This window comes from Homo sapiens, chromosome 8, assembly GCF_000001405.40.
Source record: "Homo sapiens chromosome 8, GRCh38.p14 Primary Assembly".
In the NCBI taxonomy this organism is placed as follows: Eukaryota; Metazoa; Chordata; class Mammalia; order Primates; family Hominidae; genus Homo; species Homo sapiens.
In genome coordinates this window covers 88,707,487-88,725,395 of record NC_000008.11, presented here as the reverse complement: position 1 = coordinate 88,725,395, position 17,909 = coordinate 88,707,487, and the positions used below count along the sequence as shown (strand labels likewise).

The 17,909-nt window shown below is 34.8% G+C and overlaps 1 long non-coding RNA gene across 2 annotated transcripts in view; it reads right to left on the bottom strand.

Annotated features, from left to right (window-relative positions):
• The window catches only part of LOC105375630 (uncharacterized), a 559,756-nt gene that overhangs the window by 162,204 nt on the left and 379,643 nt on the right, over window positions 1–17,909 (bottom strand). Inside the window, exon 4 of one of the 2 annotated variants that reach the window (XR_007060998.1) lies at window positions 10,610–16,066. The exons of the other annotated variant lie outside the window; for it this stretch is intronic. This is a non-coding gene — a long non-coding RNA (uncharacterized LOC105375630). Of the gene's footprint in view, window positions 1–10,609; window positions 16,067–17,909 lie in introns of those variants that run through there. 2 annotated transcript variants of the gene reach the window in all.

Below are 17,909 nucleotides of genomic sequence, written 5' to 3'. Positions count from 1 at the left end.
GTCCATTTTGGTTGTATACCAACCAGACTACCAGAAAGATCAATATAGATGAGATGTCTGGAGAAGCTGAAAACAAAGAAAAAGGGCAGGGCCAAACAGTTTCAGCCATGCAGCAAGTGATACTATGGTCCCCAGTGGCCTGCAGGAAGACTCTAGCAGTTGTTGCTGCTGAGGAGCTCAGTAGCCATCAAAGTTGCTGTGGAAACACTTCACCACCCTGGGCCAGAACCAGCACCCACTCGTCTATCCCCCTGCAAAAACATGCACATTCAAACTCCAGCATTGCTGTTACTCTACTCCCTTCTGTGTTTAGGATCCTGTCTCTGCACCCACTCTATGTATGCCCACATCTGACAGGAGCACCACAGGTGGCAAGCCCACACCATAGTCTCTGGCCATGGTCACTCTGTTAATGCTCATGCTTCCGACCCTAATTCTGCAACCATTCTGGGCAATTTTGTGCCTCACACACTGGCATCACTGCCACCAAAAGCACACTCAAATGCTGGAACCAGCACCATAATGAATTCCCTCAGCCATAAATTCACCCTGTGGAGGTAAAATAAAACAAGAGAACTGCAACAGCCTTCACCATTAAGGACCTCAAAATTCCTAGCTATGTCAGGAGAGTAAAAGAATGCCCACAGCCTTGGCTAATGAGATCTCCCTGAGTCTATGCTGACACTGACCTCAGCTGATGGAGCTGCATGGAAACTAGGCTACCACACACTTTTTAGCCAGTGCCCTTGTACCCACCAATAGGTGAATAGCTTCCAACACACACACACACACACACACACACACACACACAGAGAGAAGTATGTAAAGTGAGGAAGAGGTGACTATTCCCTAAAATAGGAAGACATCAATGCAAGGTTATAATAAACAAAAAAAGTAAAAAAACACGACACCACCAAAGAAACACAATAATTTTTTAGTAACTGACCACCCCAAAAATGGAGCTTTATCAATTCCCTGACCAAGAATTCAAAAAAATATTAGGAAAGCTCAGTGAGCTACAAGAGAATAAAGAAAATCAACTAAACAAAATCAGGGAAACAATGCATGAACAAAATTAGAAGTTATATAATAAGAAACAATTTTAAAAGACACAGAAATTCTGGAGCAGAAAATTTCAATAGAGAGCCCCAACAGAAAACTCAGTCATGCAGATGAAAGAATCAGTTAACTTGAAGAGAGATCTCTTAAAATTATCCAGTTAGAGGAATGAAAAGAAGAAAAAAATGAAAATAAGTGAAGAAAGCCTATATAACTTATGGGATACCATTAAGTGAAACAATTTACATATAAATGAAATTCCCAGAAAGAGTGGAGAAAAAGAAAGGAGCCAAAACTAATTTTTTTTAAATGATGGAAAATTCCTCAAAGTGTGCAGAGAAACAGGCATCCAAATCCATTATGCCCATAAACCCCAAATAAGCTGAACATCAAGTGATCTTCAGAGATACATTATGGCCAACTTGTCTAAAGTCAAGGACAAAAAGGAAATGTTGAAAGGGACTAAAAAAGCATAACATCACATATAAGAGAATCTCTATAAGACTGTTGGTAGATTTCTCAACAGAAACCTCACAAACCAGCAGAAAATAAGATGACATATTCAGAGTACTGAAATAAAAAATTGCCATTCGAGAATATCAGGAAATATGTCCTTCAGAAAGAAAGGAGAGATAAAAACTTTCCCAAGCTAAAACTGAGGGAGTTCAACACTGCTAAACATGCTTTACAAGACATGCTTAAATAAATTCTTCAAATTGAAATAAACCCATACTAAACAACAATACAAAAGCATATGAAAGCATAAATTTTACTGGGGAAGGTAACTATATAACCATATACAGCTCATTCTTACGCATTAATGGTGATGCATAATTTATTTTAATTCTAATATAGAAGTTAAAAGATGAGAATTTTTTAATGCATACACAATATTAATAAAAGCAAATCATGACTACAATAACACAAAGCTGAAGGAGAAAGTAAAACTGTAGTTTTAACTTCATTCTTAACTGAGGTTAAGTTGTTACCAACTTAAAATAGAAGGCTTAACTATAAGATACAACTTATAGTATCTCAGAATAAGATACAGTATACAAACATTAAGCCAACCACAAAGAAAAATCTGTAATAGATATACAAAAGATAAAGAGAAAATAATCAAAGTAAAATGTTAAATAATTATTAAATAACAAAATAAGACAGCAAGAGAAGAAAAAGAATAGAGAAACAAATGAAAAATAGATCGAAAAGAATGAACAAAATGGCAATAGTAAGGCCAAACTTACCAATAATCACCTTACATGAAAATGAACTAAACTCTCCAATCAAAAGGCCTAGAGGGGTTATACAGAAAAAAAATTCACAGATATGTGTACAATAGGCTCACTTTAGACTTAAAGACACACATAGGCTGCAAGTGAAGGAATAGAAAAATATATTCCATGCAATAGATAATGAAAAGAAAGCAGGTGTGACTACACTTATATCAGATAAAATATAGTTTAATTCTAAACCTGTCTCTAAAGACAAAGAAAAACATTATATAGTGATAAAAGATTAATTCAACAGGGAGATACAACAATCATAAATATATATGCCCCCAATATCAAAGCATGCAAATATGTGAAGAAAATATTAACAGATCTGATGACAGAAATTGACAGCAATATAATAACAGCAGGGGACTTTTGATATTCCACTTACAATAATGAATAGAACATTTAGACAAAAAACCAAGAAAGATACAACAGACTTCTACAATGTGTAGACCAATGGAACTAACACACTCAAACAGAACTTTCCAACAAACAGCATAAGAATACACATTCTTCTCAAGAACACATGGAATATTCCCCAGTATAGATCACTTATAAGGTCACAAAATAAACCTTAACAAATTTAAGGATATTGAAATCATTCCAAGTATTTTTTCTTGACCACAATAGAATGAAACTTAAAACGAATAACAGGAAGAAAACTGGAAAATTCACAAATACTTGTAAACTAAACACATAGTTTGAACAATCATTGGGTCAAAGAGGAAATCAAAATAGAATTAAAAATGACAATACAACATACCAAAACCTATGAGATAAAGCAAAAGCAGTAATAAAAGTACAAGAGTAATATGAGAAAAGTTTACAGTGATAAACACTTACTTTATAAAAGAAAAAAGACCTCAAATAAACACTTTAACTTAACATCACAAATAACTAGAAAAATAACAACAAACTAACCTAATGTCATGGGGGGGTGGGGGAAAGGAAACAATCAAGAGTAGATCACAAATAAGTACAATAGAGATTTTATGAAAATAGAAAAGAAGAAACAATTCCAGAGCTGGTGTTTAGAAAAAATAAGCCCTTTGTTAGACTAAGAGAAAATGAGAGAGGACTCAGATAATAAAATCCAGACATGAAAGAGAAGACACTACAATCTATGTCTCAGGAATAAAAATGATCATAAAGGAATATTATGAATAATCATATCCCAACAAGTTGCATAACTTAGAATAAATGAATAAATTCCTAGGGCTATATAACCTAACAAAATAAAATCAAGATGAAATAAAAAGCAGGAACAGATAAAAAAATTAAGAAGATTAAAGCAATAGTCAAGTATCTCCTAACAAATAAAAACCCAAGACTAGATGGCTTTATAGATGAATTCTAACAAACATCAAAGAGGAATTAACACCAAACCTTCTTAAATTTTTCCCAAAAATAGGAAATGATCAAAAACTTCCAAACTTATGAGTTCAGAATCACCCTCATACCAAAATAAGACAAACATTACAAGAAAAGAAAACCACAATATATTTCTAATAAACATAAAATAAAAGTACTAAATAATATACAAGCAAACCAAATTCTGCTAAATTCAGAGCATCACACACCATGACCAAGTGGGACTTATCCCTGGAATTCAAGGATTGTTCAACATACAAAAATCGATCAGTGTGATATAAAACATTAATAAAATTTTTAAAAAATGGCTATCTCAATAGATGCAGGAAACACATTTGATGAAATTCAACATCCATTCATGATTAAAACAATTAGCAAAATACAACTGTCCCTTAGTATCTGAGGGGAATTGGTTTTAGGACCTTCTGTGGATATAAAAATCCATGGTTTCTCAAGTCTCACGGTCGGCACTTGCAGAACTGCGGATACAAACATCGCCCTTTCAAATCTGCAAATTTTGCATCCCACAAATTATATGTTTTCTCTCCATGGTTGAATCCAGAGATGTGCAACCCAGGGATATGGAGGACTGTCTATAGTTTTAGAAGGCACAATAAAAGCCATATATGAAAAGCCCACAGCTAGCATCATAATTAATGGGGAACACACAAAAGTTGTTCCTCTAAGATATGGCCCAAGGTAAAGATTTCCACTCTATTCACTTCTTTTGAAAATAGCACTGAAAGACCTAGCCAAAGCGTTTAGACAAGAAAAAGAAATAAATGGCATCCAAATAAAAAATCATTTCTATTTGTTGATGACATAATCATATATGTAGAAAACTGTAAATATTTTTTAAAAACTGTTAGAACTGATACACCTTTAGTAAAATTGCAAGTTATAAAATCAAAATACAAAAATAATTACATTTCTGTAAATACTCATATACAGACACATTGAAATATTATTCAGTTTTAGAAAAGAAAGAAATCATGCCTTTTATGACAACATGCATACAACTGGAGGGTATTATGCTAAGTGAAACAAGCCTGACACAGAAAGACAAATGCAGCATAAGCTCACATGTGGAATCTGAAAAAGTCAAACCCATAAAACAAAAATTAGAATGGTAGTTACCAGGGGCTGGAGGAAAGGGATATGGGGAGATATTGATCAAGGGGTACAAAGTTTTAGTTATGTGAGATAAGTAAGTTCTGAAGATCTAATGTACAACAATGTGACTATAGTTAATAGTATTCTATTGTGTACTTGAAATTTACTAAGAAGATAAATCTTGTTTTCATAACAAAAAAGTAAATATGTGAGGTTATATATGTTAATTTAGTTCATTGTGATAACATTTCGGAATGTATTCATATATTACATTCATACACTAAATCATCTAGTTGTACTCTCTATATATATGTGTGTGTGTATATATAACATTTTTAACTGCCAACTATATTTCAATAAAGTAGGAAAAGAATTCTTTATATGGCTGAATAGTATTCCATTGTGTCTTTATGCCACATTTTGCTTATTTATTATCTGTTAATGGACACTTGAGTTGTTTCCACCTTTTGGCTATTATGAATAATGCTGCTAAGGACATTGCTGTATGGGTTTCTCTTCCCTGCTTCAATTACTTTGGATACATACCTAATAGTGGAATTGCTTTGGATACATACCTAGTAGTGAAATTTCTGGGTCATATGATTATTATATTTTTAACATTTTTTAGAACGTGCTGAACTGTTTCCCACAGTGGCTGCACCATTTAACATTCCAACCAGCAATGCAAGAGGGTGTCAATTTTTTCACATCCTCACCAACACTTGTTATTTTTCAGGGGTTTTTGTAGTTGCCCTCTTAGTAGGTATGAAGTGGTATCTTATTTGGTTTTGATTTGCATTTCCCTAATAACTAACGAGGTTGAGCATCTTTTCAAGTGCTTATTGTCCATTTGTGTATCTTTAAAGAAGTGTTTGCTCAAGTGCTTTGGCCTTTTTGAACTTTTTTTCTTGTTATTGTCATTATTGTTGAGTTTTAAGTGCGTTTTATATGTCCTAGATATTAATCTTGTATCACTTACTTAATTTCTAAATACTTTATCTCATTCTACAGGTTTTCTTTTAACTTTTTTAACTTTTTAAGGGGGGGCATATCCTTGTTTTTTTATTTTTATTTTTCTCTCTTGTTCTCTATAAACAAACCAGAAAACAAACATTTTCCCAGTAGCAGAAGCCAGAATCAATCTTGTCATCTCTTAACCTCCCAAAACCACATCAATATATGATCCTTTTGGTTTTGGCTTCCATGTCTCAATTTCATCACCTTTTATCCACTTCCATTCCTGTGACCACCTTATAAGTTACCATCATTCATAGCAATCATGGTATCTAAAAAAATCACAGTAAACTAGTAGGAAATAAATTGTATAAACTTTCTGCAAAACATTTAAATAATTTATACTGCGCATCATTTTTTCTTGTCCAACTTCTATTTTAGAAACAGGGTGTATAAGTGCAGGTTTGTTATAAAGGTATATTGTGTGATGCTGAGGCTTGGGCTATGATTGAACCCCTTGCCCAGGTAGTGAGCATAGTACCCCATAGGTAGTTTTTCATCTTTGTTCCTCTCCCTCTCTTCCCCCTCTATTATTCCCCAGTGTCCCCATCTTTATGTTTATGTGTACTCTATGTTTAGCTCTCACTTATATATGAGAATATGCATTATAATCCATCCCACAGAAACACAAAAGATCTTCAGAGACATTTATGAACACCTTTATGCACACAAAGTCAAATATCTAGAGGAAATGGATACATTCTTGGAAACATTGAACCGAGATGAATGTAGAAACCTAAACAGACCAATAACAAGTTCTTAAACTGAATCAGTAATTTAAAAAATCCTACAAACCAAAACAGCCCTTGACCAGATGGACTTACAGCCAAATTCTACCAGATGTGCAAAGAAAAACTAGTGCCAATCCTACTGAAATTATTCAAAAAAAATTGAGGAGGAGGACTCCTCCATAGCTCATTCTGCAAAGCCAGCATCATCTTGATACCAAAATCTGACAGAGACACAATGAAAAAAAGAAAACTTCAGGCCAATAATCCTGATGAACATAGATGCAAAATTCCTCAACAAAATATTAGCAACCAGAATCTTTTAACTTTTTTGATAGTGTCCTCTGATAAACAAAAATTATTAATTTTGATGAAGTTCAACTTTACTGTATTTTTTTCTTACCTGTGTGTTTGGTATCATATCAATGAAATCATTACCAAATCCAGTGTCATGAAGATTTTCCCCAATGATTTCCTCTAAGACTTTTGTAGTTGCAGCTATTACAGTTTTTGATAATTTTGAGTTAATTTTTGTATATGTTGTAAGGTAAGGATCCAAATTCATTCTTTTGTATGTGGACATATAGTTTTTCCAGCACCTTTTATTGAAAAGATTGTCCTTTCATTCTTTGAGTGGTTTTGGCATACTTGTAGATAATTTGACTAAGTATGCAGGGGTTATTTTTGTGCTTTCTATTACATTTTATTAGTCTACATGTTTGTCTTTATGCCAACACCATACTGTTGTAAGTACTATGGCTTTACGGTACATTGCAAAGTCAGGAAATGTGAGTCCTCCAGCTTTATTTTTCTTCTTTATATAATTGACTATTTGGGGCCCCTTAAAAATCCATATGAATTTGAGGGCATTTTTCCCATTTCTATGAAAAAGCCTGTTATAATTTGTATAGGGATTGCATTGAATCTGTAGATCACTTTATGTGGCATTAACACATTAATAATGTTAAGTCTTCCTGTCCATAAACACAAATCTTTATTACTCATGTCTTATTTAATTTCTTTCAGCAATATTCATAACTTTCAAAATACAAGTATTTCACCTACCTGGTTAGATCTATTCCTCAGTATTTAACTACTTTAGACTTTATTGCAAAGAGAATTGCTTTCTTAATTTTCTGTTTGGTTGGTCATGTTGTCATATAAACACTCAACTGATTTTTCTTTATTGAATTTTATACTGCAATGTTGCTGAATTCATTTATTAGCTATTGGGGATTTCTACTAGGTTCTTTGGGATTTTCTAGGTATAAGACCATGACATCTATAAATAGAGATGGTTTTAACCTGATTTTTTTTTCAACATAAATGCTTTTTCTCTCTCTCTTTTTTTTTTTCTTTTGTAGTAGCTCTGGTAGGGCCTTCCAGTACCATGCTTAATAGCGTGGTGAAAGCGGGCATTCTTGTCTTCTTCCTACTCTTAGGGGTAAAGCCTTCCATTTCACCACTGAATATTATATTTGCTATGTGTTTTTCATAAGAGCCCTTTATCATATGGCTGAATTATTCTATTCTAAGTTTTCTGAGAGTTTTTATCATGAAATTCTCCTCAATTTTGTTAAATACTGCTTCTGCATCTATTGAAATGTTCATGTGTTTCTTTTTTACCTATATTCTATTTATGTGATGTATTACATGGATTGATTTTCCTATATTGACGCACCCTTGGTTTTCTCTGTTAATCCCACTTGATTGAGCTGAATAATACTTTGAATATATTGTTGGATTAGATTTGCTAATACTTTATTGAGGATAGATATTTGCATTTATATTTGTAAGAGATATTAGTCTGTAATTTTATTTTCTTGTTATTTTATTATCTCGCTTTGGTATCCAAGTAATGGTGGCCTCATAAAATGAATTAGAAAATGTTTCCTCCTCTTCCATTTATTGGAAAAGTTTAAGAAAGATGCATATTAATTCTTCTTTAACTCTTTGTTAGAATTCACGTGTGAACACATCTGGTCCAGGGCTTTTCTTTGATGGAAGGTTTCTAATTATTGATTCAATCTCTTTAGTTAGTATAGGTCTGTTGAGATGTTCTATCTCTTTTTGAGCCAGTTTCACTAATTTATGTGTTTTCAGGAATTTTTCAGTTTTTCTTTATAATCCAGTTTTGTGGAATACAGTTGCTGATAATATGCTCTTATAATTATTTATTATAAATATTGTCATAATTATTACCCATTTAGTCAAAGTTTCAAAGGATGTACAATTTGGGTTGGGAATGCTATATCAATATTTATTAAAGTGACAGAACGGTAAAGAGTGAAACTTAAAGCATAGACATGCAGATCACAAAAGTTTGAGTTTATATGGCCTGAATTGTCATTGAGTAATGGTTTGAGAAAGAGTACTGGTGAAGAAATAAAATTTGGTGATGAAGGAGGTAGAATGCCAAGTTAGGGACTAAATACCTAATGTAAATCCATTTATCACATAGGTGTTGGTTATAGGACTTTCACCCATATTCTAGGATGTCCTCTCATCCTCTCAAGGTAAAAGTGAATACATTTCTATTAAAAGCCATAATTAATTGCATAAACTATTCAACTGGGTTGAAAGTATTCAGGCTCTGGTGAGGCTCTGATGTACTTTTCTCTGCCATGCTGAAAAAAAGAATTTGAAATGCTGTCTGAAATTGGTCATTTGACCCCAGGCAGAAAATAAATTCTAAAATGTTATTAATGCTCAGTTGTCCTCCTCTGGGACTAAAGTGACTTAACTCATCTATATTTTCTCTTTTTCTTTGTCAGTGAGTACACCTTTTCCAAATCATCTGATGAGTCAGAGTCATAAGAGGTTTATGGTGCAGTGAAAAAGTCAGCTGCTCTTAGTTATAATCAATGTTCAAAGAGCTTTAACCTATGTTTTCAAGATTGATGGCCTGATGCCCAGTTAAGATTACTTAAGATAGACAGACTGTGTCATCACCCAGAATTCTGATTTCTTGTAGGCATGCTAAGTCAGAAAAGCCATCAACATTATCTTATTACTTTCCTCATCCATGACCACACAGTGACCTTCTTCACTGAAGAGTCAATGTTTAAAATCACTATTACCCTTTCCTGTTGCCAAGGACCTCGCTCCAAAAGAAATGCATTATGTAAGTTAGTCATCTGTTTGTGATTTTTCTTATTTGATATGGCAAAGGGCCATGCTGACTCAGAGCCAATTCAGTAGCCAAAGCTTTAGAAAATCACTTGACATGTAAACATATTCAAATCCTCTGATCTTTCAAAAGTCTACATTTTAAGGAGCTATATATATATATATATATACACATACATGTATCCCTGCCATTTTATAACCTTCAAGCAACTACATTGGTGCTTTTGTCTTCAGTTTACTCATTTATAAAATAAGGGCTTTGGACTCTATAACCTGCTGGATCCTTTGGGGGACTATATATTGGGGGTTCTTATATTTTCCAGTTTTGCTGAAGTTTTATTGTTTACTGTGTCGACTGAAGAAAAGCTAGTGTGAATCTCAGCAGCTATCAAAATTGAAATAAACTACTATTTCAGAATTTTACCCAGGCATTTAAAAAAACCTCACAATTTATTTTTGGATATTAAGTAAAAGATGATCCAGAAATCCAAAGATATTAGTAATTTAATTTTAAGAGTTATTACAGATGGGAAGTACTGTCCCAGCAAACCATTAGCAACTATTTGAGGAGGAATTTACCATGTTCAATGTAGGTCCAATTAGTATGGTTTGGAACTTTCCCTTTCCAATATTGGTTGAAAAACAATGTATACTTAAAAGTATGTTCCTGGGGTATTAAAATTACTGACCATGGTGCTCTCTTGATGTCAACGTAGGTATTACCTGGTTATTTAAAAAGAAAATTCTATGGAATATTATTTAGAAACTAACTTTGGAAGAATAAATTGCCGCTTTTAATAGGAAGACTAGCAATCCAGTGAAGCCATTGACAGAGAACGAAAGTGTTGGAGAGGAAAACTTTTCCTCTACCCTCTCAAATTCAGGATCTGGGTGGAGGATATGCTGTGAAAATACACATTAACAAGAGAATAAAACAGTTTATTTGCATACAAGAGCTTACAAAAGAAGTAGTTTCCTAAAAGTTAAATTAGAAGTTTATATATCTAACTTAATAGGAGAAGCAAGCCGGGAGAAAAGACTTCTATAAGGAAAACAAATGGATTTCTTTAGGAAAGACAAATAGTTTTTTGGGAGAACAAACAAGAGATAAGAAAGTTTGTGATAACATTTGTTTATGCAGGTGTGAGAACTCTTTTCATCTTCTTTATGGCCATCAAACTCCCCTGGAGAGGGGATTTATGGTAGATTTACCCTTGGTCTTGTTTCTGGGAGTAAAGCCACTCTCAAGAGAGGATTTATGCCAGCCTTATTTCCCAGAAGTGGCTGCTTTTAATCAGAAGAAGGAAGCTCTGAGAAGATTCTTTTCTGCATCTGTGGAATCTCAAATGTCCTCAACTAAAAATAACCATACCAACTCAAGGATTCTTTGTGGGTTTTGGTATTTCTTCCATTTTGAAACATCTTGAGAAGTTTTACAAACGAGAAGCTGTGTTGGTTGCTGTAGAAATAAGATTTGGGTTAGAAGCTGTGAGGCAAGAGATCTGCAAAGGGAGAGAAGAACATAGATTAGAACAAGGATGAATAAGCAGAAAATAATAAATCTAAGCACAATGCCCCATACCCCACTGAACCTGTCTCCCCATCTTGGGAATAGGTCAGCCTAGTTAAAGACTATGCCTCATTTATTTGATGAAGAATATTAACCTTTTTTTCCCAAAGGTGTGAATTTGACACAATTTTTCCTGTGTGATTTACATAAAAGCAGCATTGTTTTCCCATAATTGCTCAAGTTCCACCTTTTGTTGTGCTCCAAAATTGTCTCATTCCGAATACTTCAGTGTATCCAGAATGGGACAATTTTGGAGCGCATCAGAAGCTAAACTTTAACTCCCAATTGGAGTGCTCCTAGAGACTTTACGTGTTATTGCATATTGGTTGTATTACTTTGGAAATATCTACCATCATTCTTTCTAAATCATATGTTTCAAAACTTGGAAAAAAGGTCTTCATCACTAAATAGAGGTTGGAGCTGTAAGACACAAGTGGGTTTTCTATGATGTCTCATTGAGTACATCCATGTGGTGTTATCTTATGAACATAGGAGCTCAGATTTGCAATTTAGCTTGCATTTAACGTACAATTCCCCGTGAAGGAGGGTGCCAGGTATACAAATTCACATTGCCCTCAGCATTTAAGTAGAAACACTTTATTAATATATACTTTTTTGCCCCTTGAAATGCAGAAACTAGTGTTGTTCATGAACAAGGTCAGAGGGGAAACTGTGACTCACGAAGTTGGGATCTGATGTCTTTCACAACCTCTGTCACCAGTTATGTTGGATCTGTGCTTCTCTATTTACATGTGTCTCTATCAGGATGTAAGAGCAAAAGAAGTTGTAAAATATTTCCTAGAGAAGACCTACAGCCTGATCTTGGCAGTTATGAAAATCACTTTTACCACCTAACCAAGTTAATAAAAAATTTTGGTTTACCCACATACGATTTTTTAGAATAAGCAGCCTGATCAGAGAAACAGCTAAGCTATTCCAGATCCTGCTAGCATGGCCCATAAACCAAGAGTGACACCCAGTGACCATACAAATGCTTGTATCTTAAAAGTTAGTAATAGAACCATCTATGACATTTCTGCAGGGTTTGAAATTACCCCATGGTTTGATTTCAGTGTTGTCATGGTATCTTACCTAGAAAGGGTCCAGTACCATTTCTGTTTCCAATGAAAAGGGAAATTTGTCCATTCAATAACATCACCTGAACAAAGAATAGAACTTGAGCTTCCATGGAATTTTCCAAGCGCCAAATCAGTTTACCAGAAAGAGAGGTGGCATGATTTTTGTCTTCCTGTTTGTAGATACCATACCCTTTTGTACATCCATAGTCCAGTCTGTGTCCACCAGGTGTTTGCATTGGCAGAAACAAAAACTAGTTAGCTTCTTCTGTATACCGATATGTTGACATAACCAAAATTCGGATTGATGAAAGTTGCCAGTGTTTAGAAGACTGGCGCGAGTAGGTGCTGGATTTATGCTAGAATTGTCAAAAAAAGCCATAAGGGTTAGTTGAAGCAAGACACAGTTTAGAAAATATCTCATTGTGAAGAAACAGAAGAAGAAAAAAGTAGCAATCTCTAGACAGTCCATCAATAAATAAAGGGGAAGGTTTCTGTTTAAAGCTCAAAGAGGTTTTTAAGGTTTTTATTTACTTTTTTTTCCTTTGGTCAGAGAAGAGAAAGATATCAAGGGAAAATAGGTGGAAAGGTAGTTCTTGATCCAAGATATTGGAAAAAATAGTCCACTTTATGTTGTCATCTGCTTTGGGACCCTGTGAATTGGCCCTGAAAATCCTTGGTTTGAAGTCAGCTGTAAGAATAGCTTTTCAATTTTTCTGGAAATTATGATCTGGGTCTAGCTTGGCATGACTTGCATGAATCCAGGAAATATTTCTTTTTATTTTGATGGCCATGTAGGTGTTCAGCAATGCTTCACAAGGTACTTCCCAGAAAGATGACAGTGTATGCTTTCTTGTCAAAATTTTGATGTATACTTGATAGCTTGGTCAAAAGGGATAGAAAGCTTGTTGGTAGACAATGGCCATGACTTTTTTGCCTGTTAATGGTAAGCTCCAAGTACAAGAGATAGTTCTTTTAGATATCTAGTCATAATACTGAACCTTTCACTCAGGTCCCCATAATGCTCACTCACTTCAGGAACAAAAAGTTTGGAGATGCTAATAGGCATAAAGCTATCAAAAATTATTCAAAAAGCAGTTAATCCATCTCTCTTGTTTGGGGTTTTCCAGATTTTATTGGGGTCAGGGGTGATGCTTCTGGCCACTTAGGTCTATTGTACTGACATATTTTATAGTTCTTTTGCTGTCTAAATTATCACATTCCACCTCTCTGAGGACTGAGGATGGTAAAGAGTATAGAATTTTAATGACTATCCTAGAGTTTTTGTGAACATGTGATTTACTTCTGTTGTTAAGTGAGTTCCTTGGTCTGATTTAATACATTAAGTAATGCCAAAATGAAGAATAATCTCAATTTTTTTTTTCATTACTACCATGTGGCATCAGCATGTCTAGTTGGATAGTACTCAGTCCATCTACTAACTGTGCAGGTAATCACCAATTATGAGTTGAGTATTCCTTATCTGAAATGCTTGGGTGGGACCAGAAGTGTTTCAGATTTGGGATAGTTTTGGACACTGGAATAGCTGTATCATATTTACTGGATGAGCATCCTTAATCCAAAGACCTTAAATAAAAAATGCTTTCATGAGCATTTCCATTGAGCATTATGACAACACTCATAACGTTTTGGATTTGTATCATTTCAGATTTTGGATTTTCAGATTAGGTATAGTCAACCTATAATGAGAATAACCTGAATCCTGAGGGAAATCTATAAAGTCCACCAGGAGTGTTGCAAAGGGAATGTGGGTCTCAGAGGATTTCATGGGGTATGCTACTTACATCCAGAAATATCATAAGATTTACAAGTAATACATTGGTAAATAATTTGATCAGAAATTCTGTGGATTCCAGGGCAAAATCACTGTCATTTACCTCTTTGATTTGCCCTTCTTTACACATATATTCCATTTGATGGGCAATAAATAGAAGCACAAAACAATAAAAGATAAAGGACTATAGGAAGTCCATTTGGTCCAACGTATAATCCTTCTAACAATTGTCTGGAATCTTCTTGCAGCCTTTTTTTTCATTGTAGGGTATCTGCCAAATATTATTGACGTCAGTAAGTGTTAAAGGCAGGGTTGTAAGCTGGGTTAAAAAATGGGTTATTGCCAGAGTTGGGGGTTCATGTTTGGCAGCTTTGTCAGACGTATTGTCTACCAGAGATACAGTGTCAGTCTCCTTGGCATGTGCCAACAATAAACAAAAGCAACCTCAATTAGAAGATGAATAGGCGTAATAGGTTAACAATTACATGGCCATTGGCAATAGGGGTACCAGCAGAGGTCAGAAACGGGACTTTTCAATACAGCCAACAGTATGGCAGAGTCCAAAGCACATCTCAAGTGTAAATAGTGTCAGTTTTCTCTTTGCCAAGGCTCGTGTAAGATCTAGACTCAGTGGTTCAGGCTGATTATATAGAAGGCAGAATTTGTCTCAAGTGTTTCATTTAAGGAAACCATGGCACAGTCAGTTACTATGTATCGGTGAGAATTCTGCTTGACAGCCATGACAAAACAGAAGTCTGGACTGTCTAAGAAGATGTCTAAAAAATCATAGTTTTGAGACCATTTATATAGCTACAAAGGAATCACGTAGAATAGAATGGGCTGTCCATCATCAAGGAGGAGTAATAGAATAGCACGGTTCAGGGTGTTACAATGATACAATAGAGAGAGAATTGTTAATAGGTCCTGTTCATCAGTGGTCTGCCATTGTATAAAGAGGGTGCTGTGTTTTATGAGCTTGTAAGAGCGCTGACACATCAAGGGTAACATAGAGGTGAGTAGGGAGGCCTAATGTAAGAATAAAGGCTTTTTCCATTAGGGTGGCAGCTGTGGCTTTCGCACACAGGCATGGAGGCATGCCTGATGTCACAGGGTTGATCGAAATAAGAAATATGCCATAAAAAGTAATTGAGAGACAAACGGCTGTTCTAGAATACTAGCAACAATCTCATTAATTTCATGGCAATATTGTTGAAAAGGTTTGTCAAAATTGGATAAACTGAGAGCTGGGGGTGTAGATAATGCTTATTTTAATGCTTCAAAGGAGGCCAGTGTCTCAGAGGGCCATAAAAGGGGTTCTGAGGTTATACCTGAGAGGAAAACATATAAAGGCTTGGCTAGGATGGCAAAATTAAGAATCCATTGATGGCAATAACCAGCTGCCTCTAAAAATTTCTGGTTTTTTTTCTTTCTTCTTAAGAAAAGATTGTCAAAATTCCTTCAAGATATTTTACTGTGAGTTTTTTAGTGCTCCGAGATGCTTTATGGCCTAAATAAGTCAGTTGTCTGTACCCATGGACATTTAGATTTGGAGGCTTTGTAGCCTTGCTCAGTCAGTACCTTCAGAAGGATTAGGGAGTCTATACAAGCATTCTATTCAGTTTGGTTGCAAAGTAGGAGGTCATCAACAAATTTGACAAGCGTGGAGTCCTGGGTAATGATTATAGTGTCTCAATTCCTTTGAAGACTTGGGAAATATTGAGGGTGACTTCACAACTCTTACTGGTTCGAGATTCTTGGCTCTCCATATAATAGCAATTAACACGAGGCCAAACAAACTTTTCCCAGGTAAGGTTTATTAAAACTTATGCCCAGAAATGTTGGGCATAACGGAGACAGTGCAGGAAGAAGGGTTCTCTGGCTGGCTCCCGGAGGGTAGGTCCTTGTGGTGTTTTCAGGAGCCTAACATGAATAACCTATGAGGTAAGCAAGCATCGTTACAGGTGCAGAGTGGAGTGCCAGGTGCACAGGCACAGTAAGAAATCATACTAACACATACACTGCATGATCAGAAAATGACAAATAAGATCCACCCTGAGCAAGGATCAGGACCTTGCCCCTAGGGGAAGGTTATGATCAGTCACATTCCTCATCTTGTGTGCATGTGGGTGGTAGGGTCGACTGTCCTGGGTAAGCTTTGTGATGGAATGTTGTTTATCCTATCTTTCTAATAACTTGCAGTATCTCAGAGAGTATGGGGATGATGGTGCAAGGTCTGATGGTTAGTGGGTATGCATGAAAAAATACATTAGTGGGAGTGGGGCCAAGTCCCACATCTACTCTGTCTCAAGTTCAAATCTAGAGACATATATTTTTAGATTTTTTTATTATATCATCATTTAATTTCTAGTATAAATTTCTATGTTATTTAACTTAGCACGCCAAGCAGTCAAAATATCAGAGACTTAACCTAAAAAAAATTCTGTTTGCTCAGATTAATTCAAATGGGCTCAGCTAGGCTTCATTTGTCTTCTCGCTCTAGAACCCCAGCTTAATGAGTAGTCACTATCCAGAACATGTGTTCTCAAGGTAGAAAGCAGAAGAAGGGGAGATGAAGAAAAATAAAACAAATGTATTTTTTAATGCCTCTGCTGGGACTTGGCATAATGTCACATCTTCTCATATTCAATTAGCCACAGCAGTCACATGGCCAAGCCCGAATCAGTGAGGAAGATAGGTATATTCTACCCACAGTAAAGCATAGCAAGGGGGAGGAGTAATTAAGAGTTCTAAGAAATCAAAATATCTACAACAATGTGCAGGGTAAAACATTTAATTGAATGGCAGAAAGTAAGTGTCTAATAAAAATATATATAATTATATTATAATCATTACATTGTTTTATTAGTGCAAACACGGTATGCAGACTAAATTCTCATCAATTACACAGTCATTAACTTAGTAAACATGAGATGTCATAACATTTATTAATGTTTTTGTCCAGTCTATTACATAGAAATCGTTAGTAAAATAAGTTGCAATAAATAAAACATGATTTGGTATGGCTTTATTATCAGTCATAAGTACCGTGATTTTTGATAAATGAATTAATCTTTAAAGGTGTGGAGCATAAGAAGTAATACCTGTACTTTTTAATTTAAAAAAATAGCACTCTGGTGAATGTTGGTAATACTTATTTAGAGGAAATACAATAGAAAGAAGTCAGTAATAACTTTAGGGTTTTACATAAGGAATTGGTACCTCCATCCTTAAATGCATCAGTGGTCCCCAAGTTATATTTGTGTTGGAGAGATAAGCCAAATGCCATTACTCTGACCTACAGTGGTTTGTATTTTTAGAAAAGATGAAATAACCAACACTTGCATTTTTACATCTGTGATATGAACCAATCACCCCATGAAATTGGATGAGCACTAAACTTTTGTAAAAAAATGATTAGTCCTATTTTCTAAGATAAAAATAATAAAATATGAAAATATTTGAAGGGGAGATTTTCTTCTTCTAAGCCATGAATTAGATTTCTTTGAGAAAAATGTTGAAAGCCACACATTTCCCTGAGAAGATGAAAAACTAAGACGTATTATTTATTATTTTAAACTTAGCAAAGAGAGTGCTAAAAGAAATTACATGTTCTCCTAACAACAATTTGCTTCCTAGCATTTTTTTCCAACCCCTTTCATTTCTATATGCAATGAGAACAGAAGCACAGAGGAAGAGTGTGCCAGTAGTGATGTCAACTACAGAGGAATAAAGTTCATGGGCTGATTTTGAAGCATAAACAGCATACAAATCAATGCA